Source organism: Homo sapiens, chromosome 19 (genome assembly GCF_000001405.40).
Source record: "Homo sapiens chromosome 19, GRCh38.p14 Primary Assembly".
Taxonomy (NCBI): domain Eukaryota; kingdom Metazoa; phylum Chordata; class Mammalia; order Primates; family Hominidae; genus Homo; species Homo sapiens.
Window position 1 is genome coordinate 56,736,758 of NC_000019.10, and position 26,103 is coordinate 56,762,860.

The 26,103-nt window shown below is 43.9% G+C and overlaps 1 long non-coding RNA gene and 1 pseudogene across 1 annotated transcript in view; one reads left to right on the top strand and one right to left on the bottom strand.

Annotated features, from left to right (window-relative positions):
- The window catches only part of LOC105372472 (uncharacterized), a 69,204-nt gene extending 47,476 nt beyond the window's left edge, over positions 1 to 21,728 (bottom strand). The window contains exon 1 of the long non-coding RNA XR_936108.3: positions 21,475 to 21,728. This is a non-coding gene — a long non-coding RNA (uncharacterized LOC105372472). The remainder of the gene's footprint in view (positions 1 to 21,474) is intronic.
- OR5AH1P (olfactory receptor family 5 subfamily AH member 1 pseudogene) lies at positions 24,108 to 24,476 on the top strand (annotated as a pseudogene).

Here is a 26,103-nt window from a genome sequence, read left to right on the forward strand (position 1 = left end):
CTGGCCCTCCTGTTCTCTTTAATTGTTTTGTGTGAAACTTTGTGATGCAGGGAATTGCTTCCCGCAAGAATTCCTAAATTCCATTTTGTGAGAGTCCTTCAAAACCCAGAGGCATTTTCTCATACTACGTGTGTGTGTATGTGTGTGTGTGTGTGTGATTGAAGGGGAATTGGGAGATGACTCTTGAGTCTCAGGTCATTTACTTGCCCCATATTTACCTTATTGGGACCCTCCCTAAACCCAAACACCTAATCTCAAGGCTACAGCAAGGCAGCAGCCCTGAAATCTCTCCTCTGGGAGGTACCAGCACCCGGCTGCTTGGATGCTCAGAGGCAGGATGGGAGCAGGTGACGGGGGTGTGGGCTTGGGACCAGACAGCCTGGAGACCTCCCCTCTGTGAGCCCACCATCCTCCTTTGTAAAATGCAGACACTCCTAGGACCTCGCTCACAGCCAGGGCTGCTGGGGATGGCTGTTTATGTTGTACCCTGCACTAGGGTCCTGTCCAAGGCAAGGGGAAAAATGTGAAACCCAGCCTGCTCTCCGCAGCTGTGTCCATGCAGAGCTGAGGGATTATTTTCAGGCATCCCACTGATCTATCCCACTTCCCACAGCCCACCCTGTACATAGGCACAGCCAGTGTAATTTGGGAAAAACTCATTTTAAACAAACAAAAAAATGTCCCAGCCAATACAACATACCCCTTTAAAAAGTACATTATTGTGTTTTTCTTTTCATTTGAAGCAATGTCTATGACATTGCAACGTATATATAACTTAATATTTAACATTTTAACCATATTTAATTGTACAGTTCCCATATTAGGTGCATTCACATTGTTTTACTATGATCTCCGTTGTTCATCTCCAATATTCTTTTCATCTTGAAAAACTGAAACTCTGTACCCACAAACAACTCCCTACTTCTCCCTCACACCTGTCCCTAACATCCACTTTCTTTCTTCTTTCTTTCTCTCTCTCTCCCTTTCTTCCTTCTTTCCTTCCTTCCTTCCTTCCTTCCTTCCTTCCTTTCTTTCCTTCTTTCTTTTTTTTCTGAGATGGAGTCTGGCTCTGTCGCCTAGGCTGGAGTGCAGTGACACGATCTCTGCTCACTGCAACCTCCGCCTCCTGGGTTCAAGTGATTCTCTGCCTCAACCTCCCGCGTAGCTGGGATTAAGGCTCCCACCACCATGCTCAACTAATTTTTGTATTTTTTTTAGTAGAGACAGGATTTCACCATGTTGACCAGGCTGGTCTCAAACTCCTGACCTCAGGAGATCCACCCGCTTCGGCCTCCCAAAGTGCTGGGATTACAGGCATGAGCCACTGCGCCCAGCCCACTTTCTACTTTCTGCTCTATTAGTTGGACAGCATTAGAGACACTAAATTATTGGAGTCATAGGGTACGTCTTCTTTTGTGCCTGGCTTGTTTCACTGAGCATAATGTCTCAGGGTTCATACAGACTGTAGCATGTGGCAGGATTTCCTTCCTTCGTAAGGATGAATAATATCCCATGGTATTGATAGAGGATATTGTGTTTATTCATTCATACTTTGATGGACCTTTGGGTTGCTTCTACTTCTTGCTGTCGTGAATGCTGCTACGAACACGGGTGGACACATATCTGCTCGAGTTCCTGCTTTCGATTATTCTGGGTCTATATCTCGAAGTGGTATTGATGCATCATATTGTTAGGGAAACAGGAGCATAGGAGAACCAGGGTGACACCGTTTTAAAATCTGTCCAAAAAAACTAGCAAGGCACATTCCTTGCCAGCCCTCCACCATGGCCATTAAGATGTGTATAGCTGAGGAAACAGCTTAATCAAGCCTGCAAGGACAAACTCCTATGAGAGCAAAATGTCTAGATACCCCAATATGGCATTATATGCTTTTAAGATGATTACAGTTATGCTTTGATGCATTTATGCACCAAAATGCCAAGGATAGCTTTCTTTAAATCAACAAAATAATAAATTTTGTCATGCTGCCAGCCCACCTGCACATACACATAACTTTGCTTAGCTATTACATAGATAAGACCCCCACATAAGTAAAACTTAAAACAAAGATGAGGCATTCCTCTCTTGGCTTTCTGAGGACACCCTACTCTGTATCTGAGTCACTTTCAGTAAATGATCTCTTCTTACTGCACTCTGCAGCTCACCTGGGAGCCCCTCCTGCAAGAGATCCAAGGACCCTCTCTTCGGGTCTGAATTGATAACTGTTTTCTGGCAACAATATGGTAACTCTACTTTTATTTGTCCAGAAACTATTGCACTGTTTTACAAGGCAGCTGCACCATGTGTCCATCCCACTGTCGAAAACCAAAATTTCCACCAGTTTATTTCCACTGTGATCAGATTCAGGATCAGCTGCTCGATGCTCGAAAGCCAGGCACGGGAGACAAGGGTTGGCAGAAGGAAAGACAGGTTCAATCAGAGAGCCAGAAAACCGAGAAGGTGGTGAACTAGCGTTCTAAAGCACCATCTTCAATTTTAGAATTCACCATGGGGGTTTCAAAAGGAAATTTGCTGTGGGAGACATGCGGAGTGTGCAGGGTGCAGGTCTGTGCCTTTGTTCTGGTGGCTATCATGGGTATCACCCACCCTGAGACCTGGCTGGCATTATCCTGACTTCAGAGGAAGAGATAAAGGGGTCAGATGGGAGGGAAAGGAAGTGGGTGATTAAAATATATTTTAAAAACGGAGGTCCCTGGCCTCACAATGATTGAATTGGCATTTGTTAGCGATTTATGGATCGGGCTGCATCCCATCTAGAAATACAAAGGCATTTTTGCCCTTATGGCAGAACAGTTGGCGCACTTTTTTGTCTTTTGTTTTTCTTTTGAAACGGATTCTCACTCGGTCACCCAAGATGGAGCGCAGTGCTGTGATCTCAGCTCACTGCAACCTCTGCCTCCCGGGTTCTAGCAATTCTCCTGCCTCAGCCTCCTGAGTAGCTGGGATTACAGGCGCCCACCACCACGCCCACCTAATTTTTTGTATTTTAGTTGAGACGGGGTTTCACCATGTTGCCCAGGCTTGTCTCAAACTCCTGAGCTCAGGCAATCCACCTGCCTCGGCCTCCCAAAGTGCTGGGATTACAGGCGTGAGCCACCGCACCCGGCCAACAGTTGGCTTTTGTAGGGCTTCTTGAGCAGGAACAAAGAAACAGCACCATACAAAAAGGCGGCTCTTTTAACGTCTGGTTATTTTAGGTTACTTTCCTTTTAAGGGTTAAAGCAGAGGGACTTCCTTCTCTTGGCAGCTCACGTTACTTGGGTCCTTTGAGATCAGATGCTGTGGATCTCTTGTGTTTTGAAAAAACCGGCCTGTTTAGGGATTTTCCTGTTTTTCCAAGTTTCAGTTTGACGACATGCACTTAACCTGAAAGACTCCATTTTTATTTGGTTTGTGAAGGGCTAGAGAAGGAGCTCCGTCCACAACAACAGTCTCCTATCAACTTCATTTAACCACTAAGTGCAGAAGGGTTCCAGTTTCCCCAAAGCCTACCACCATCCTTTATTTTCCATTTTATGGAGAGTAGCCATGTTAATAATGTGTGCTGGTTCTTTTTTTTCTTTTCAGTGGAAAAAATCATATTTATTTCATTTTTCAATAGTAATTATTTATTAGTGGTATGTGCGTGTCTGTTGGGCACTGCACAATTTCTCAAACCTTGGGATCAGACGGGACCATGCCACCTGACTTTCGAAACCTTGCTGATTTTCATGTGGTAATTGCCCTTCTTCACAGCAACCACGGATGCCCCAGCATCACAAAGACATGATGTCAGCAAAGGAAATGTAGAGAGACCGAATGTGAAATCTGTGAGCCACTGGAGCTGGTGTTTCACATGGTGTCAGAGGTGGAATGCTGCTGTGCTTCCCCTAATTTTAACATATCCAGGGTCCCTCTGTGGACAGCTGAAGCTGTGAGGATAGAACAGCAGGAATGCCGTAGGAATTAGTTGGAGGGGGCAGGTAATGGAAGAGCTGATCTGGTTGCTAAGCAGCTCAGAATCTCTGGAGATGAATCATAATGGAATTAGAGTAAGAGCAGACAGTGCAGAAGGGGCTACTCTGCTCCAGCCAAATGCAGCTGCAGAGAATAAGAAAAGTGATGTGGATGTTCCACAGTCTCCCCTTTTCTTTCCTCTCCCCTCTCCTCCCCTCTCCTCCCCTGCCTTCCCTTCCCTTCCCCTCCTCTCCCCTCTCCTCCCCTCTCCTCCCCTGCCTTCCCTTCCCTTCCCTTCCTCTCCCCTCTCCTCCCCTCTCCTCCCCTGCCTTCCCTTCCCTTCCCTTCCCTCCCCTCCCCTCCCCTCCCCTTCCCTTCCCTTCCTTCTTCCTTTCCCTTTTCTTTTATTTTCTTTCTTTCTATTTTTTTTTTGAGACAGAGTCTTGCTCTGTTGACCAGTGCAGTGGCACAATCTTAGCTCACTGCGACCTCCGCCTCCAGGCTCAAGTGATTCTTCTGCCTCAGTCTCCTGAGTAGCTGGGACTACAGGCACCCGCCACCATGCCCGGCTAATTTTTGTATTTTTAGTAGAGACGGGGTTTTGCCATATTGGCCAGGCTGGTCTCAAACTCCTGACCTCAAATGATCCGCCTGCCTTGGCCTCCCAAAGTGCTGGGATAACAGGCATGAGCCACCGCATCCAGCCCCAAGTTTCTTAATAAGTTCTCATTTGTTTATTCTGATGGTCTTCATTTGTAATTGTATGTCCATTGCCTGTATGTATATTTGGCCAGCAATCCCCTAATGCAGTTCAGGATCTGTGGGAAAAATCAAGACATTTCCAGGGGGTCCACAATTTCTAGACTATTTTTTTAAAGAACATTAATATTTTATTTGCTTATTTTCTTCTCTTTTTCTCTGCATGATGTGATATTATAATATTTGAAGTAAGAAGCAGATTGGAGAATCCATTTCTCTTCCATTAAGGAGGAAATTAAAGGAGTTTGCAAAAACTTCTAACAATATCACCTTTATTACTAAGTTTTTGTTTGGAAAATATAATTATTGTTCACAAAATGTGAGCTATGTTAATATACAATAGATTTGTTGTTGTCGTTAAGCTTAAAAAGTAACGTTTGACTATTTATAACATGATCTATATGAGATCATGTTATGTTTTATTTATATCTTATACCAAGAAACATCCTTTGGGAGTTTCCCAATAATTTTAAGAGGGTAAAATAGTTTGAGATGACAAACTTTGAGAATTACTGTCCTGGGTTAAATTCCTTGGTTCCGTTTTGCTGGATTGAAAGACACACACACTTAATGTTTCTGAGACATGATGCCACATTGCTATGATGTTCCACAGCTGTTTCTCTGGCTCTATTTTCTCACGGGAAATGTAACCCAGGTCTGTCGGACTCTTACCAATTTTCCAGTCTGCCTCCTCTCATAAATTCAGTGAAGGAATTTCTTTCTCTTTCTCTTTCTTTCTTTCTTTCTTTCTTTCTTTCTTTCTTTCTTTCTTTCTTTCCTTCTTTCTTTCCTTCTTTCTTTCTTTCTTTCTTTCTTTCTTTCTTTCTTTCTTTCTTTCCTTCTTTCTTTCTGCCTTTCTGCCTTTCTTTCTTTTTCTTTCTTTTTTCTTTCTTTCTCTTTTTCCTTCCTTCCTTCCTTCCTTCTTTCTTTCCTTCTTTGTTTCTTTTTCTTTTTTTTTTTCGTCTTTTTCAGAATCTCGCTCTGTCGCCCAGGCTGGAGTGCAGTGGCATGATCTCGGCTCACTGCAAGCTCCGCCTCCCGGGTTCATGCCATTCTCCTGCCTCAGCCTCCCGAGTAGCTGGGACTACAGGCGCCTACCACCACGTCTGGCTAATTTTTGTATTTTTAGTAGAGACGGGGTTTCACCGTGTTAGCCAGGGTGGTCTCAACCTCCTGACTTCGTGATCTGCGCGCCTCAGCTTCCCAAGGTGCTGGGATTACAGGCATGAGCCTCGTGCCTGGCCCAGTGAAGGAATTTCTATGGGAAGCGCACGTGGCCTCCAGTTACATGGATGTTCAGAGATCTCCCCTCATGTGGGGTATGATTAGATATCTCAGAAGATAATGTTCAAGGTATAGTCTTCAGTTTATAAACCCCAGTCCCGACATGGGGTGTCGTGGGTGATCGTGGGCCAGACATGTGCCCCTTCTGAACCTCATTTCCTTTACCTGTAAGTGGAGGATGGGCTGGGTAAAAACTCAACAAAATGGCCAACACATTATAGGCATTTAATACGTTATAACTAGGTTTTTCTGAATTTTTACACTAAATAGGAATAAGAGTTTTAATAATTATGAGCAAAAGAGGATGAGAACAAACACAGAGTCGGTGTCTGTAAAATTTCTCTCAATAGGCCAGGTGCGGTGGCTCACACCTGTAATCCCAGCGACTTGGGAGGCTGAGGCAGGAGAATCACTGGAACTCGAGAGAAGGAGGCTGCAGTGAGCCGAGGTCATGCCACTGCACTCCAGCCTGGGTAACAGAGAGAGATTCCGTCTCAAAGAAAGAAAAAAAAAAAAGGAATGGATATAGAAGAAAAGGAAAAAAGAAAAAATATAGAAGGAAAAGAACATAGGGAAACTCATAATTTGGGATAATAAGCATAATAAAGTCAAACTCAGGCAGAAGAATGTGATTCTAGGAGACAGAGAGAGGCAAATTATTTGGCATGAGGCCTCTGTGTTTCCCTTAAATGAGCCGCCCCAGGCCCTTTGCACGTGTTGCTCCTGCCATCACTGGGTCTTCATGTGGTGCCTTCCTGTCTCCATTCAGGACTCTGACCAGAGGTCACCTCTCAGGGATGCCTTCTTTGATTCCTGTCCCCAGAAGCTTGTCATGCACCTCTACCTTCCAACCACCATGGGGTTGATTTTTTTTATTTCTTCCATATGTATAAAAAAACAGGATACATGTGCAGAATGTGCCAGTTTGTTACATAGGTATCCATGTGCCATGGTGGTTTGCTGCACCTATTGACCTGTCCTCTAAACTCCCTCCCCTCACCGCCTACCCACCAACAGGCTCTGGTGTGTGTTGTTCCCCTCTCTGTGTCCATGTGTGCTCATTGCTGAACTCCCACTTATGAGTGAGAATATGTGGTGTTTGGTTTTCTGTTCCTGTGTTAGTTTGCTGAGGATGATGGCTTCCAGCTTCATCCATGTCCCTGCAAAGGACATGATTTCATTCCTTTTTTTGGCTGCACAGTAGTCCATGATGTATATGTACCACATTTTCTTTATCTAGTCTATCATTGATGGGCATTTGGGTTGGTTCCATGCCTTTGCTATTGTAAATAGTGCTGTGATAAACATACGTGTGCATGTGTCTTTATAGCAGAATGATTTATATTCCTTTGGGTACATACCCAGTAATGGGATTGCTGGGTCAAATGGTATTTCTGGTTCTAGATCCTTGAGGAATCACCATACCGAATCACCATACCATCTTCCACAATGGTTGAACTAATTTACATTCCCACCAACAGTGTAAAAGCATTCCCATTTCTCCACAGCCTCACCAGCATCTATTGTTTCCTGACTTTTTAATAATTGCCATTCATACAGAATCAAAGAAGACTTCGTATAGCCAAGACAATCCTAAGCAAAAAGAATAAAGCTGGAGGCATCACGCCACCCGACTTCAAACTATACTACAAGGCTACAGTAACCAAAGCAGCATGGTACTGGTACCAAGACAGATATATAGACCAATGGAGCAGAACAGAGACCTCACAAATAACACTACACATCTACAACCATCTGATCTTCGACAAACCTACCAAAAACAAGCAATGGGGAAAGGACCTCCTATTCAGTAAATGGTACTTGGAAAACTGGCTAGCCATATGCAGAAAACTGAAACTGGATCCCTTCCTTACACTTTGTACAAAAATTAATTCAAGGTGGATTAAAGACTTAATTGTGAAACTGAAAACCATAAAAACCGTAGAAGAAAACCTAGGCAATACCATTCAGGACATAGGCATGGACAAAGACTTCATGACAAAAATGCCAAAAGCAATGGCAACAAAGGCCAAAATTGACAAATGGGATCTAATTAAACTAAAGAGCTTCTGCACAGCAAAAGAAACTATCGTCAGAGTGAACAGGCGACCCACAGAATGGGAGGAAATTTTTGCAAGCCAAAGAAACTATCATCAGAGTGAACAGGCGACCCACAGAATGGGAGGAAATTTTTGCAAGCAAAAGAAACCATCGTCAGAGTGAACAGGCGACCCACAGAATGGGAGGAAATTTTTGCAAGCAAAAGAAACCATCGTCAGAGTGAACAGGCGACCCACAGAATGGGAGGAAATTTTTGCAAGCAAAAGAAACCATCGTCAGAGTGAACAGGCGACCCACAGAATGGGAGGAAATTTTTGCAAGCAAAAGAAACCATCGTCAGAGTGAACAGGCGACCCACAGAATGGGAGAAAATTTTTGCAAGCAAAAGAAACTACCGTCAGAGTGAACAGGCGACCCACAGAATGGGAGGAAATTTTTGCAAGCAAAAGAAACTATCGTCAGAGTGAACAGGCGACCCACAGAATGGGAGGAAATTTTTGCAAGCAAAAGAAACTATCGTCAGAGTGAACAGGCGACCCACAGAATGGGAGAAAATTTTTGCAAGCAAAAGAAACTATCGTCAGAGTGAACAGGCGACCCACAGAATGGGAGGAAATTTTTGCAAGCCAAAGAAACTATCATCAGAGTGAACAGGCGACCCACAGAATGGGAGGAAATTTTTGCAAGCCAAAGAAACTATCGTCAGAGTGAACAGGCGACCCACAGAATGGGAGGAAATTTTTGCAAGCCAAAGAAACTATCGTCAGAGTGAACAGGCGACCCACAGAATGGGAGGAAATTTTTGCAAGCAAAAGAAACCATCGTCAGAGTGAACAGGCGACCCACAGAATGGGAGGAAATTTTTGCAAGCCAAAGAAACCATCGTCAGAGTGAACAGGCGACCCACAGAATGGGAGGAAATTTTTGCAAGCCAAAGAAACCATCGTCAGAGTGAACAGGCGACCCACAGAATGGGAGGAAATTTTTGCAAGCCAAAGAAACTATCATCAGAGTGAACAGGCGACCCACAGAATGGGAGGAAATTTTTTGCAATCTACCCATCTGACAAAGGTCTGATATCTAGAATTTACAAGGAACTTAAGCAAATTTACAAGAAAAAAAACAAACAACCCCATCAAAAATTGGGCAAAGGATATGAACAGACACTTCTCAAAAGAAGACATGTACGCGGCCAACAAACATATGAAAAAAAGCTCAATATCACTGATCATCAGAGAAATGCAAATCAAAACCACAATGAGATACCATCTCACGCCAGTCAGAGAGGCTGACTTTTTTGGTTTACTTCCTGTTTTGTAAGATATTGATCAATAGGATGCTGTCTGCTACCCAGCTGATGCCTTATATTCTCCCTCTAGTGGAATATAAGCTCCTTTGAGGATGGTAGAAATAATGAACCCCTGGTTTGCATTACTGATTGTGCCAGAAGATTGCTACTGTGAATGAAAAGCTCCGAAGGACAAAAATAGATCCATACCTGATTTCCTGCTCATTATCATGAAAAATATTCATTTCTCAATGCTGCTTATACCAAGGAAATAGGAATAAAGTAACAATGCACACAAAAGAGTTGGAGGTTTGAGTATAGAAAAGCAGTCATGCAGTAGTACTGGACACAAAGTGAATGGAGAAGCTGGTCCTATTTCCAGGCAGTGCTCAGTGTCCTTAGGGATGAGTCACCACGAGGTTAGAGTGAGAATAGGCAGTGGGGCAGGGGCTGTTCCTCCCCAGCCACGTGTACCTGCAGGAGTGAGGATGAGGAATGACATGGAGGGAGTCATGGCTCATCAGGGTTGAGGGTTTCCAAGAGAATCACATGAAGCAGAGTATGAAAAGGAGATTTGAGTTTGTGCAGAAGAAACTGGTTCTAACAATTGACCATAGACAGTGATCTGAAGGTGGGATGAAGATTAGCGGGAAATGGGTGAATCAATACTATGTTTTTCCTAAAGAAAAGGAAAATTGGCATCAGGTGAGCAGAAGTCACCTGGAAGATAGGCAGTGATGTTGCAGATGGGAGGCTTGAGCTGAGGAGATGGGCTGACAGCCTCTATTGGTAACAACAAGGCTGATGGCAATCGATGGCTAAAGGAGTTTAGATAGGAAATTTGGGAGAGAGGAGATCAATTTTCAGATAGTGAAGTGTTGGGAGGGTCAGCTATGTTAGTGTTCCTCCACATCAGCACTATTGAAAATTTGGGCTTGAAAGTTCTTTTTTTGCAGGGTGGGGAAGCCTGTCCTGTTTTTGTAAGATATTGATCAATAGGATGCTGTCTGCTACACAGCTGATGCCTACAGCCCTCCTCCAGTTGTGACAGCCAAACATGTTTCCAAAAATTGGCAGATGTCTCCTCATGGCAAAATCTTCCCTGGTGGAGAACCACAGATATTAACGTGTAGGATATTCCCCAGGATTATAGAGGAAAGTGATGTTGGTGAGGACAACAGTCCACATCCACAGAGAATTGAGATCACACAGAAATCGGGGCTTTTCATGAGGCTATGTGTCCCAACCTTGCATGTTATTTTCTGTAATTCTGATGGGCCACATCTTGGATCTTGCTGACCCTGGAGGGATGATCCTGCTGGGTCTTGTCAATTCCTGAAGATAGTAAACAGCTCCCTTGAAAGGCAGCCTTTCATGTGGAAACCAATCCAGATCCCACTCCCCAATCATCTCCTCTATGGAGCATTCACACTGACAGCCACGAATCACTCAGCTCTCCTAATCACCCCAGGACCAGGCATCAGACAGCTCGGGGACAACCCCTATGCCCAGAGCCACTGAAATTCTTCAGAGAAGCCAATCTTGTTTACCTGCTCATTTACCCCCACTTGTTCTTTCCCTTGGAAACCATAATTAAGGCTCTTCACTCACAAGTCCTTCCATCCCCTTCCTCTTGCCAGATACTTGTCCTTCCTGTGTGACTACCTGGTGTGGTGTGCCCCTCCTCTTGGGAATGTGAGCAAACAGCTATATTTGCAGTAACAACTTGTCCCTCAGTCTGTTTTACCGTTGTGTGTGAAACTTGGTAATTTCTGGTCTTGATTCATGCAATTATGAGCCTCATTTTGTGGGAGTCCCTCGAGTACCCTGATGCATTTCCCCATCGTGTGTGTGTGTGTGCGAGCACGCACGTGTGTGTAGTTGAAGGGGAGTTTGGGAGACACGGCATTCTCAAGCAAATTGGAGATGCAGACCACTTTCCCTGCCTCTTATCTATATTATTAGAATCTTGCCCAACCCTAAATGTCCAGTCCCAAAGATGGAGCAAGACAGGGGCCCTGGACTCCCTCTTCTGGGAGGGGCCAGGGCACTTTTCTTTGGATGCTCAGACGTGGGATGGGAGCAGGTGATGGAGGCGTGGGCTCAGGGCCAGAGAGCTTGGAGACTTCCCTCTCTGAGCCCAGTATTTTCCGCCATAAAATGCAGGCACTTGTAGGTCTCACTCACAACCAGGGCTGTGGGGATGGCCATGCGTATGTTCCTCAGCATTGAGGCTTCTGTCCAAGAAGCTGAGGGGAGGTGAAATCTAGCCTGCACTCTTTCCAAGTTGTGCTTAGTTCGAGGATAAATAATCCCACCAGCGCCACTCCCTCATTGATCTCTGCAAAGCCCCTTAGCCCACCACCGTGGCCTTGGGTTCACTCATGAAATTTGAGAAACAAATTAGTTCAAGGAACAAGAGAGCAAATAAATAGTGACACAGCCATTTTCAGGATCTCATTTTTTTCCTGTTTCTTCTCACATGAGGCAATGGTAATGCTACTGTAAAGTGCCTTTGCCATCACTAGGTGGCACTCTTGAAGCAATAGAAAGTATACAGACGTTTAACACTTTTTATCTTTTCATTTTTAATTGTGGCAAAATACACAGAACATAAACTTTACCGTATAATCCATTTTTTACTAATATTAATTGAAAAACAAAGGCTGGCAAGTTTAATTTTTTTTTTTGAGACCAAGTCTCGCTTTGTTGCCCAGGCTGGAGTGCAGTGGCGTGATCTCGGCTCACTGCAAGCTCCACCTCCCGGGTTCAAGTGATTCTCCTGCCTCAGCCTCCTGAGTAGCTGAGATTACAGGCCTGCACTATCACACCCGGCTAATTTTTGTATTTTTAGTAGAGACGGGGTTTTACCATGTTGACCAGGCTGGTCTCAAACTGTTGACCTCAGGTGATCACCTGCCTCAGCCTCCCGAGGTGCTGAAATTACAGACGTGATCCACCGCGCCCATCCTCTAATTTTTTTTTTTTTTTTTTTTTTTTGAGACGGAGTCTCGCTCTGTCGCTCAGGCTGGAGTGCAGTGGCAGGATCTCGGCTCACTACAAGCTCCGCCTCCCGAGTTCACCCCATTCTCCTGCCTCAGCCTCCACAGTACCACAGTAGCTGGGACTACAGGCGCCCACCATCATGCCCGGCTAATTTTTTGTGTTTTTAGTAGAGACGGGGTTTCACCGTGTTAGTCAGGATGGTCTCGATCTCCTGACCTCGTGATCTGCCCGCCTCCGCCTCCCAAAGTGCTGGGATTACAGGCCTGAGCCACCACGCCCGACCTAAAAATTTTTTTAATTGTAAAAAATGATGTAGGCCAGGCACAGTGGCTCACGCTTGTAATCCCAGCACTTTGGGAGGCTGAGGTAGGAGCATCGTGTGAGCCCAGGAATTCGAGACCAACCTGGGCAACAAGGCAAAACCCTGTCGCTACAAAAAATAAAAATAAATTAGCTGGGCATGGTGGTGCAGGCCTGTAATCCCAGCTACTCAGGAGGCTGAGGTGGGAGGATGGCCTGAGGTCTGCTGTGAGCTGTGATCGTGCTGCTGCACTCCAACCTGGGTGACAGAGCAAGATCTTTTCTTTAAAAATGGTGTAAATTATTACATAGTTTAACGTTGATATTTTCATCATCTTTTAAGTGTGCAGTTTGTTGGCTTCCATTACATTCGGGTTATTTGCAAACATCACTACCTTCCACGCCCAGAACAGTCTTCATCTTGCAAAACTGGAATTCTGAGCTGATTGTACATGAGCTCTGCATTTCTCCTCTCTAAGCCCCCATGAGCCACCATTCTACTTTCTGGGTCTATGAATTAGGCTAGTCTGGGGCCTGACCTAAGTGGAATCATGCAACAGTGTCCCTCTGGGGCTGACTTATTCCACTCGGCATCATGTCCTCAGGGTTCCTCCGTGTTGTAGCATCTGTCTGGGTTTCCTTTCTTTGTAAGACTCAGTAATATTCCATTGTATGTGAACACTACAGCTTGTTTACCAATATCCACTCATCCTTTGATGGACACTTGCGGTTTTCCACCTTTGACTATTATGAATAATGCATCGTGTCACATTTCCATCAACAAGGCAGAAGTTTCCTACTTTTCCAAAGCCTGCCAGCACTTGTTATTTTCAGGCTGGGCGTGGTGGCTCATGCCTGTAATCCCAGAACTTTGGGAGGCTGAGGTGGGCAGATAACCTGAGGTCAGGAGTTCGAGAGCAGCCTGGCCAACATGGTGAAAACATGTCTCTACTAAAAATACAAAAATTAGCCAGAAATCTCTTGAACCCTGGAGGTGGAGGTTGCAGTGAGCCGAGATCATGCCACTGCACTCCAGCCTGGGCAACAGAGTGAGACTCCGTCTCCAAACAAACAAACAAAAAACCACTTGTTATTTTCTGTTTTATGGATCATAGCAATGTTAATAAATGTGTGGTGGTTTCTTCTTTCTCTTAAAAATAATTTTTCTTTTCAAACAAAAACTATTTTATTTAGAAAAGCCATGTTGAATCATGGCCCAGCTTGGAAAGTTATTTATTTATTAAAATTAATTAATTTTTATTAAAACTTTTTTAAAATGTAGATACAGGCTTGTTACAAGGACATCTTGCCTGATGTGGAGTTTGGCTTCTAATGGCCCCGTGGCCCGCGTAGTGAACGTGGCGTGAGACAGGCGGTACCTTCCCTTCTGCTGTTGACAGTGTCTACTGTTCTCATATCCTTGTGCCTGTGTACCCAATGACAGGCGGTACCTTCCCTTCCGGTGTTGACAGTGTCTACTGTTCTCATATCCGTGTGCCTGTGTACCCAATGTTTAACTCCCACTTATAATGGAGAATGCATGGTAAAAATCATTCTTTATTCTTCAATCATGGCAAGTCCTTCATCATGGGACGCACGTGCCTGTTGGGGACTGCAAACCTCTTATCCCTTGGCATCAGCCTGGACTGCACCACTCTCATTTCCTTATCTATGTTAATTTTTGGGTGGTGATTGCTTCTCTTCACAGCAGCCACTGACACCCCCGCATCACAGAGATGTGATGTCAGCAAAGGAAATGTTGAAACTGTGAACCCCTGGAGCTGGCAGGTTCTGTGGTGTCAGATTTCGAATACAGCTGTATCCGATGCCTTCAATGTTAAGGTACCTAGGATCTCTCTGCAGAGATCGTCACAGCGGTGAGGATAGAACAGCAGGAATGCAGTCGGTGTTCACTGCAGGGGAGAGAGTGGAGGAGCTGGCCTGATTGGCAGGCAATGCTCAGTGTCCTTGTTGGAGAGAGTCACCATGGAAACAGAGTGGAAACAGGCAGTGGGGGAGGGGCTGTTCCTCCCCAGCCAAATGCAGCTGCAGAGAAGAAGGAAAGTGATGTGGGGCCGGTGCAGTGGCTCAGGCCTGTAATCCCAGCACTTTGGGAGGCTGAGGCAGGTGGATCACTTGAAGTCAAGAGTTCGAGACCAGCCTGGCCAACATGGTGAAACCCCGTCTCTACTAAAAGTACAAAATTATACAAAATACAAAAATACAAAAAATACAAAAATTAGCTGGGCATGGTGATGCACACCTGTAATCCCAGCTACTTGGAGGCTGAGGCAGGAGAATCACTTGAACCCGAGAGGTGGAGGTTGCAGTGAGCCAAGATAGTGCCATTGCACTCCAGCCTGGGTAATTCAAAGTGAAACTCCATCTCAAAAAAAAAAAAAAAAAAGAGAAAGAAAGAAAAAAAGGAAAGTGATGTGAATGTCCTGTAGTTTCTTTCATGGATAACCTCTCATTTGTATGTTCAGATGATCTTATAATTTCATATCCACTATTTGAATATATCTTACATCAATGTTGTCCCAAAAGGTAGTTCAAGGACCTTGTGAAAATCAAGACCATTTGAAAGAGTTCACAAGTTCTATATGTTCTTAAGAACACTGTTTTATTTGCCTTTTTCCTTCCCATTTTCTCTTCACGATGTAATATTGTATGTTTGAATTAATTAGCTGAAATGAGAATTCGGCTGCTTTGTATTAAGAAAAGATTTCTTTTTGTAGAGACAAAGTCTTGCCTTTGTCGCCCAGGCTAGAGTACAGTGGTGCAATCATAGCTCACTGAAACTTCAAACTCCTTGGCTCAAGGAATTCTCCCACCATAGCTTCCAGAGTAGCTAGGACTACAGGCACATGCCATTCAACTGGACTAATTAAAAAAAAATTTTTTTTTTTTGTAGAGGGGGAGTCTCACTATGATGACCACGCTGGTCTTGAACTCCTGGCCTCAAGCAGTCCTTCTGCCTTGGCCTCCCAGCATGCTTTGATGACAGGCATGAACCATAGCACCTGGTTATTAAGAAGAGTATTGGCTGGGAGGAGTGGCTCATGCCTGTAATCCCAGCACTTTGGAAGGCCAAGGCGGGTGGATCACAAGGTCAAGAGATCAAGACCATCCTGGCCAACATGGTGAAACTCCGTCTCTACTAAAATTACAAAAATTAGCTGGATGTGGTCACGCACACCTGTAATCCCAGCTACTTGGGAGGCTGAGGCAGGAAAATTGCTTGAACCTGGGAGGCGGAGGTTGCAGTGAGCCAAGATCACGCCACTGCCCTCCAGCCTGGGTAACAGAGTGAGACTCTGTCTCAAAAAAAAAAAAAAAAAAAAAAAAAGAAGAGTATTAAAGGGATTTATAAAAAAGTGAAACAGTGCTCCCTTTATAACTAATTTTTTGTTTGGAAAAAGTAATTATTGTTGATAAAATGTGGGTTCTGTTAATATGTGATAGGGTTGTTACTTTTTTATGTTTTAAATTTAAAAATTTCTCAGCTTCAATTTATAATATGGTAAATACTCCTAGATATAAACCATGCAAAGAAAAATTCTTTAGAGATTCTCAATTATCTTGACAAGTATACGGGCCTTCTGACTTTTAAAAGTTTGAGAAATACTATTTTAGGCTAAATTTCTAGGTATAATTTTGTGGGGTTGAAGAAGACACATGCTTAATGTGTCTGATCCACGATGCCCTATACTTTCAGAGTAAGTGAAAGAAAGTATAGAGCTGTTTTCTGGCTCTGAAAGTATAGAGCTGTTTTCTGGCTCTAAATTCTCATGGGAGTGTGATTTATATGTGTCAGGCTTATTGATTTGCCAAGCCGCCTACCATTATAAACCCAGTGGGGAGATTTCTCCAGGAAGTATGCTCTGACTCCTATTACCCAGGCTTTCAGAGATCTCTCATATAAGTTTAGAATTCCCAGAAGAGAAGGTAGAATGTATATTCTCAAGTTTATAAATCCCAGGCTAACATTCATTACTGGGTGATCATGGGCCAGACACCTGCCTCTTTTGAGCCTCGCTGCCTTTGCCTGTAAATGAGGATTGGGGGTGTATAAGGATTTGGCACAATGCCCAATACATTGTACAAATTCAATAAATAATAGTTGTACATTTTGCATTTCTACCATAAATAAGAAATACAGTAGTAATTTAATGATGTGAGCAAATGATAGTTAGAAAGAATAGAGAGGCATTTTCTTTGTGAAAGTTTCTCCAACGACTGTATCCACAATGGTTAAAGCTCTTCTCTCCCCAATTCTGGTATGATAGGTGTGCCACTTCTCCTGTTCCTTGTCTCTCTTGGTGATATAACTGTTTACCCATTTCCTTCACTGGGCCATGAACTCTTAGTGTTCGGGTCGTGTCTCTAAAACCTGTATCAATAGCACTTTGAACTTAAAAAGCAGGTAAATAGTTTCCTGGCTTAGCCCTTGATTTAAGAATCAGGACAGAGGCCAGGCGCGGTGGCTCACGGCTATAATATCGGCACTTTGAGAGGCCGAGGCAAGCGGATCACGAGGTCAAGAGATGGAGACTAGCCTGGCCAACATGGTGAAACCCCGTCTCTACTAAAAATAACAAATACCGGGCATGGTGGCACACACCTGCAATCCCAGCTACTCGGGAGGCTGAGGCAGGAGAATCACTTGAACCCGGGAGGCGGAGGTTGCAGTGAGCCAAGATCGTGCCACTGCACTCCAGCCTTGATGACAGAGTGAGACTCCATCTCAAAAAAAAAAAAAAAAAAAAAAAGAAAAAGAAAAAAGAAAAGAAAGAATCAGAACAGTACCATCAATGACTAAAAGCTATCCTTGGGGCTGAAGGACAATGAGACTATGGACTCATTGATAAGGGAAGTAGTTGATGCTAACCAACTTATTCAAAGGTGACCTCAAAGTATATTTGTGGGATAAATTGAAAATTTATTATTTTACAAATAAGAAGACAGGGCCCCAATTGGGTCTTCTGCCTACAGCTCCACATAAAGACTGGTTATGTGTTTATTTCATTATTCAACAGTCACCAGCACATGCCATGTGTTAGGCACAGTGCTAGGGACAGAGGGAAGAGTAGTGCATATATGATACCAGCATTCAAATTCTTCACAGTCTGTGGGTTCACTGAAGGTCCTACGTAACCATTCCAATGTTTGTATTCTTGTTTCTCTAATAATCTAGAGCAATACCCGTACATGAAATATGTTGACTGGTTAATAAGTAGGCTTTCTGGAGAACCTGAAAAAAAAAATCAAACTATAGTCCGGCGTGGTGGCTCATGCCTGTAATCCCAGCACTTTGAGAGGTCAGGAGTTCAAGACCAACCTGGCCAACACAGTGAAACCCCATCTCTACTAAAAATACAAAAATAAAATAAAATACACCAGGCATAGTGGCACAGGCTTGTAGTCCAAGCTACTCAGGAGGCTGAGGCAGGAGGATCTCTTGAATCCAGGGGGCGGAGGTCACGGTAAGCCAAGATGACACGACTGCACTCCAGCCTGGGTGATAGGGTGAGACTCCATCTTAAAAAAAAAAAATCAAACTGTATTGAAGGATGAGTAAGAAGAAAGAGGAAAGGGGAAAATGAAGGAGAAAGGGGGAAAATGAAAGAGAAAGAGAGAAAATAGGTAGTTTGCGATATGGAAGGATGAAGAGAAAGCAGAGAGGGAAGAGAGAGCATTCAGACCAAAGGAGATTCTAAGGGAGAAATAGAGGCAAAATGTTTAGCTCCAGCCACATGGTTATATCTTATACCCTGGAATTAATCAGCCTCAGGACCTTTTCATGTGCAGCTCTTTCCATCACCCTAGGTCTTAATGTTGCCTTTCTCTGACTCCAGTTAAGGTTCTGATAAAAGTTAACCACCCAAGAAAGCCCCCCCTATATTTCTATTTCCTTAATAGAAAGCAGCCGAATTCTCATTTCAGCTAATTAATTCAAACATACAATATTACATCTATTTCCTTCTTTCTTTCTTTCCTTCCTTTCTTCATTCCTTCCTTCCTTCCTTTCTTTCTTTCTTTCTCTCTCTCTCTTTCTTTCTTTCTCTTTTTTTTTTCGGAGTCTTGCTCTGTCACCAGGCTGGAGTGCAGTGGTGCAATCTCAGCTCACTGCAACCTCCACCTCCTGGGTTCAAGTGATTCTCCTGCCTCAGCCTCCTGAGTAGCTGGGATTACAGGCGCGCACCACCACGCCCGGCTAACTTTTTTTTGTATTTTAGTAGAGACAGGGTTTCACCATGTTGGCCAGGCTGGTCTCGAACTCCTGACCTTGTGATCCACCCGCCTCAGCCTCCCAAAGTGCTGGGATTACAGACGTGAGCCACCGCGCCCGGCTGCAGATGCTTCTTTTATTTGCTTGCTTTTCACTGCTTTCGATCCACTGGAATGTAAACTCCATGGATAATGTTTGAAAATGAACCTAGCGTTGTGAGTTTCTGCTAGTTTCAGGTTTGTTACTGGGAATAGAATAAGTCCAATGAGCAACAATAGTAACTATATCTCATTTTCTTTTGAGACATCATGAAAATATTCACTCTGTGATGCTACTTGTATTTGGGAAATATAAATCAAGTGAAAATGGGGATGACAGGCTTGGAAGTTTAAGGATAGAAAAGCTGGCATGCAGCAAGCATTCATCGGAGGGGGATTGAATGGAGAAAGTGGTCTTGTGTTCAGGACGCCCTCGGCCTTCTTGACAGCGAGTCTCCATGAAAGCAGAGTGAGAACAGGCGGTGGCCGAGGGTCTGTTGCTCCTCAGCTATGTCCAGCTGCATGAGTGAAGGACAGAGCAGGCAGATTCATAGTCCAGCAAGCATTTATTTTTCTAAGAGACTAACAAAAAGTAGAATATGAAAAATTGCTTCATATGTGTGCATAAAAATTTTGTTTTAAACAGAGATCATAGAAGGTGACCTTGAGGTGAAAGTTAAGATCAATGAAAAATGGGCAAGTCAATGGAGCATTGGTCCCTAATGAATGAAGTGATGTTGGCATCTTGTGACAAGTTACCTGAAATGTAGGAAGTAATGTTGGAGATGGGGTGCTTTAGGTAAATGGATGGAGGGGTTTGGGTTATTGGTAATGAGAAGGCTAATGGGAATGGATTGCTAAGAGGCATTGGACAGAAGCACTGAAGAAGAGGAAGTCAATATATTGATAGTCAAGAGGTTGGGAGAACCATCCATATTAGGTATTATCTACCTTAGCAACGTAGAAAATTTGAGCTGGATAATTCTTTATGTCAGGGGGGTTCTGTTCTGACATTATAGAATGAGGAACAGCATCCCTGACTACTATCCACCAAAAAGCTCACTCGTCATAATCAATTGGGTTATTCCAGGGATGCAAGGATGTTTCATCATATGTAAGTCAATAAATGTGATACATCATATCAATAGAATGAAGGACAAAAATCATATAATAATTTCAGCAGACACAAAAAAAGCATTTCACAAAATTTAATATCCTTTCAGAGTAAAAATTCTCAGCAAACTAGGTGTGGACAGAATGTACTCAATATAATAAAGACCATATATGGCAAACCCACAGCTAATGTCATGCTTAATGAGAAAATGTTGAAAGCCTTTTCTCTAAGATCTGGGACAAGAACAAGTATGCCTATTCCCACCACTTCTATTGAGTATAGTACTGCACATTCTATCCAGAGTAATTAGGCAAGAGAAAGAAATGAAGGCATCCAAGTTGGAAAGAAAGAAGTTAAATTGTACCTGTTTAGAGTGACTTGACCTTACATATAGAAAATCTTAAAGGTTCCATTAAAAAGTGTTATAACTAATAAACAAATTCAGTAAAGTTGTAAGATACAAAATCAACATGTAAAAAGTAGTAGCATCTCGATACACTAATGGCAAAATATCTGAAAAGGAAATTAAGAAAGCAGTTTCATTTACAATAAGCTTCAATAAAATAAAATTCTTAGGAATGAATTAAACCTAGATGGTGAAAGATCACTACACTGAAAACTATACAACCCTGAGGAAAGAAATTGAAGAAGATACAAGTAAATGGAAAAATATCTTGTGTTTATAGATCAGAATAATGAATATAGTGTTAAAATGTCCATACTACGCAAAGTGGTTCAATGCAACCTCTCTAAAATCACAAATGGCATTCTTCATAGAAATAGAAAACAATCCTGAAATTCATATGAAACCATAAAAGACCCAGAGTAGCCAAAGCAATCTTAAGCAAAAAGAATAAAGCTGGAGGTCTTACACTACCTGACTTCAAAATATACCACAAAGCTATAGGAACTAAAACAGGGTGATTCTGTCATAAAAACACACACATAGACCACTGTAACAGAATAAAAATCCCAGAAATAAATCCACACATTCACAGCCAACTGTTTTTTACTTTTGACAAAGATACCAAGAACACATAATAAGGAAAGGACAATCTCTTCAACATATTGTGTTGGGAAAACTGGATATCTATATGCAAAGGAATGAAGTTAGACCCTTATCTCACCTTACATACAAACATCAACTCAAAATGAATTAAAGACATAGAGGGAAGCCTCAAAACTATAAAACTAATAGACGAATACATAAGGGAATATCCCCATGAAATATAAAGGAAAAGTCATTCACCTGGGCAATGACTTTTTGGATATAACCTCAAAAGTACTGGCAAGAAAAGCAAAAATAGCCAAATGGGATTGCATCAAACTAAAATGATACTGCACAGCAACGAAAACAATCAACAGAGTGAAGAGACACTGCACAATGAGAGAAAATATTTGCAAACTATATATATCTGATGAGGGGCCAACTCACACTCACACTCCTCATCCACGCTGATTTCAGGTGGTGATCTTTTCTCTTCACAGCAACCACTGCCAATCCAGTATCACAAAGGTAGGATGTTAGCAAAAGTAATGTAGAGAGAGCTAATGTTGAGTCTGTGAATTGCTGGAGCTGGTAGTTCATGGTGTGTCAGATGTGGAACATTGCTGTTCTTCCCTTAAGTTTAAAGCATGGGGATACCCCAGCAGACAGTTGCAGCTGTGAGGACAGAAAAGCAGGAATGCAGTAGGTTTTCACTGCAGTCGGAGAGAATGAAGGAGCGGGTCCTGTTTCCAGGCAGCTGTCAGCATCCTTGGAGATGAGTTGCCATGAGATAAGAGTGAAAACAGGCAGTGGGAGAGGAGCTTTTTCTCCCCAGCCACGTGCAGCCACAGGAGTGAGGGGCAGAGCAGAAAAGGGTCAGAGTCCAGCAGCGATGGGATATTCCACAAGAATTGCATGAAGAATATAAAAAAGAGATTTGCATGTGTGCAGAAGGAATTGATTCTGAGGATTAGCCATGGAAGGTGGCCGGGTGTAAAGGTGAATCTCAGTGTAAAATGGTAGAATTCCTGGAGCGCTGGTCACCAAGGAACGGGGGGACATTGGTGTCAGGTGGGGAAGGGGTCGCCTGGAAGTCAGGGAGCTGATGTAGGAGATGGGATGCTGATCTGATGGGATAAAGTGATTTTGGTTATTGGTAATGAGAAGTTCAATGGGAGTGGAAGGCTGAGGGAGGATTGGAGAAGAGGTCAATATATGGATCGTCGAGAGGGTTTGGAGGATCATTATAATGGGTTTTCCACCTTGGTGGTGTGGAATATTTGGATTGGATAACGTGTCGTGTGGGGACAGGGACTTCCTGTGCATTGGAGGATGTTGAACTGTATTCCTGGCTTCACAGGACCCTTTCAGAGGTGAAAATTAAAAATGTCTCTAGATATTGACAAGTGTCCCCAGTGGGCAAAATCACCCTGGCTTGGAACTACTGATCTAAGTGGGTTATAATAGTCAACCACAGTGTGGATCGAAGTATTTTGGGGTCGTCACTCCACATCCACAGAGAACTCAGAACAACAGGAAGTGGGGAGTTCCCTGAGGATGCGGGCACCAAACCATCTTTAACTTCCTGTATTCTGATGCTTTGACATCTGGGACTGGCTGACCCTGGAGACATTTCCCCTCTCAGCTGTCTTCAACCGCTGGAGATAGTCACAACTTTCCTGCAAGTGTGCCTTTCATGGGTAAACCAACCAGTCCTAGCTTACACCCCCAGCCACACCTTATGGAGCTCTGAGCCACAATCCACGTGCACAGTCACCCAAGGTCAGGTATCAGAAACAACGAAGGACGTCCCATAACCCACAGCTACTAAAATGACCTAAATGAGCCTGTCGTCAGCCTGCTTATCCTGCATGACCTGTTTCTTCCAAAGGGAACTTCAGTGGCTTTGTCCACATTTCCTCCTGCATCTCTCTGGGTTTTTGCTGACCAGGTGATTCCCCGTGTAGCTCCCCTGGCTGTGCTGTGCCCTCGACTTGTGATTATGAGCAACAAACTTTCCTTTTAATGGCAGGTATCTCCTGATCTGTTTAACTCCTGTGTGTGAAACTTTGTGATTCATGCAATGAGAACAAGGCTTTACGTGAACAGACCAGAGCCCAGGTGCAGGGCGGTCATTCCAGAGCCCAGGTGCAGCAGGTGCAGGGCGGTCATTCTGCCCACACAGGTATGTGTTGGGGGAGGGCAAGTTGAAACAGAGCCTGAGAGATGAATTCATTAATGAACAAATTTGAGCCCCAAGCCACATTTCCTCCTTTACAGCCACCTTGGTAGGACCCTACCCAAGCCCCAAATGCCAAGCCAGAATGCAGAGCAAGACAGCAGCCCTCAAATCCCCCCTCTGGGAGGTGCCAGGACTCCCCTCCTTGGATGCTCAGAGACAGGATGGGAGCAGGTGACGGAGGCGTGGGTTCAGGGCCAGGCAGCCTGGAGACCTCCCCTCCCTGCGCCCAGTGCCCTGCTCTGTAAAATGCAGACACTCCTAAGACCTCACGCACAGCCAGGGCCGCTGGGGATGGCCGTGCGTATTCTACCCCGCACTTAGGCTCCTGTCTGAGGAGATGAGAGGATGTGAAATGCAGCCTGCACTCTCTCCACAGCTGTGTCCATGCCAGGGCTCAAGATCCCACACCTCAGCCTAGCATTGCTCTGTCCAAAGGCAGACAGCCTGGTACAGCCATGTGTGCAGTTATTTTCACTTCAAAAAAAACCTTATTAAACAAAAACCAAATATATGTAAACACACCAGTTTTTTAAGTATCTCATTTTTTTTTCTAATTTGAGGCAATGCCTATTGTCAAGTATCTTTGCTGTCATTAGACGGAACTCTTGAAGAATGGAAAAGTAAATAGGTATTCTTTCTTAATATTTAGTTGTAGCAAGATACACATAATACAAAATTTGCAGCCACACACGGTGGCTCATGCCTGTAATCCCAGCACTTTGCGAGGCCGAAGTGGGAGGATCACCTGAAGTCAGGAGTTCAAGAGCAGCCTGGCCAACATGGTGAAACTTCATCTCTACTGAAAATAGAAAAAAATTAGCCAGGCTAATTTGATTCATGTCTGGCTCCCCCACTCAACTGACAGCAGGCCCCAGGACAGCCAGTGGCTGTGTCATCATGATCTGCTTTGCCCTCACTGTCCTCTCTTACATCCGCATCTTGGCCACAGTGGTTCAGATCCGTTCAGCAGCCAGCCGCCGGAAGGCCTTCTCCACCTGTTCTTCCCACCTGGGCATGGTGCTCCTGTTCTATGGCACCGGCAGCTCCACCTACATGCGACCCACCACCCGCTACTCCCCGCTGGAAGGGCGCTTGGCTGCTGTCTTCTACTCCATCCTCATACCCACCCTGAATCCGCTCATCTACAGCCTGAGGAACCAGGACATGAAGAGAGCCCTGTGGAAGCTCTATCTCCAGGTGCCATACTAGGGTCTGCCATCTGGATGCGGGAGGGACCCAAAAATCCACCTTCCCAAGATTTTCCTTGTGGTCGTGGTGGAAGTGTTAGTGCCTCCAGAGACCCCCAGGAACACACCTATTCGCCAAAGTTGTCAACAAAGTTGAATTGCAATGAATCATGCAGGAGAACCCTGATGGATGTCTGGATAAAATGGAGACAAATCCAATGTGCATTTAATTTAGGCAAATAGTATTAAATGTACACAGGGGAGGAGAGAAAGAGGAGGAGCAAATAATTTAAATAGGGTGGGTGATTCCACCCAAGAGCTCACTCAATAAATTTATGACCTGGACTACGAATCCAATAGGAGACTGTCCTCTCAGCCTGCCTCGGTTTCCATGCACTTCCCCATGTGGACATGTTTTATCCTGCTCAATGTGGTTCTAATGTTTAGTGGTACACATTTTTTCATCTAGTGTTTGTCCTAAATGCAAGCCAAAGCCTTCATCACAAGCAGCAGCATCTATTCCAGAAGAAAAATAGGCCATATTGGACGTGCAGAGAAATGGTTGGTAGTCTTCACGCGGCTGCTTCCTAAGGGAAAGTCAAGGGTACCTTTATCTTTCTGCAATGTTTCTCTGATAGCAAACCCTGTATTTGTTGTATTTCTGGTTCAGCTGCTTTAACAGAAACAAAATAACAGCAACCTAAGTCATACAGAAGGCTTGTTTCTCTTTTGTGTAATCATTTGTGCTTGGAGGTGACCCTGGGTGTCTCTATGCCACAGTCATCCTGAGGCCAGGTTCCTTCTATCTCGTTGCTCTACCATCCCTGAAGGTTTCCTTATTCCTATGGTGGGAGTTGGATCACTAGCACCTCATTCACAATCCAGCTGCTGGAAGAGGGACAGAGGAAATGGAGGGCAAGCTACATGGTTTTAAGATGTGACCCAGAAGTTATACGCTTCACTTCTGCTAACATCTTATTGGCTGGTGTTTAGCCACATGGTCACACTGACCGCAAAGGAGGCTGGGAAATGTTGTCTCCAGCTGAGAGCCCAGATAAAACTCATGAAAGGAGAGAATGTTATTTACTAATTTGTAATCAGTCCCTCACATCTGATCTCTTGATGAGCCACCATTTATCTTCTTACTCAATCCTACCATTATGCTTCCAATGGCCACCTGTACTAATGTTTAGTGGCACTAAAACTTTACATACATTGTCACTTTTATGTACATTATCTCTAATATTCAAAACACCTCTGTGAGGTAGTTGTAATTTTCCTCATTTTTTAGATAAGCAAAATAAAATTCTGATAAGTTAGGCAGTTTACCCGGAGTTAAGAAGGTTGAGAAAGGCTTGATATTTTTAGATTGATATTTTTAGGTTTGATATTTCAGAATCACTCAGGATTCTTTTTTTTTTTTTTTGAGATAGGGTCTTGCTCTATTGCCCAGACATGAGTACAGTGGCATGATCATAGCTCACTGTAGCCTCAACCTCCTGGGCTCAAGTGATCCTCCAACCTCAGCCTCCCAAATAGCTGGGACTACAGGCATGCACCACCACACCCTGCTAACATTTAATTTTTTTTTTTTTTTTTTTTTTTTGTAGAGATGGGAGTCTCATTATGTTGCCTAGGCTGGTCTTG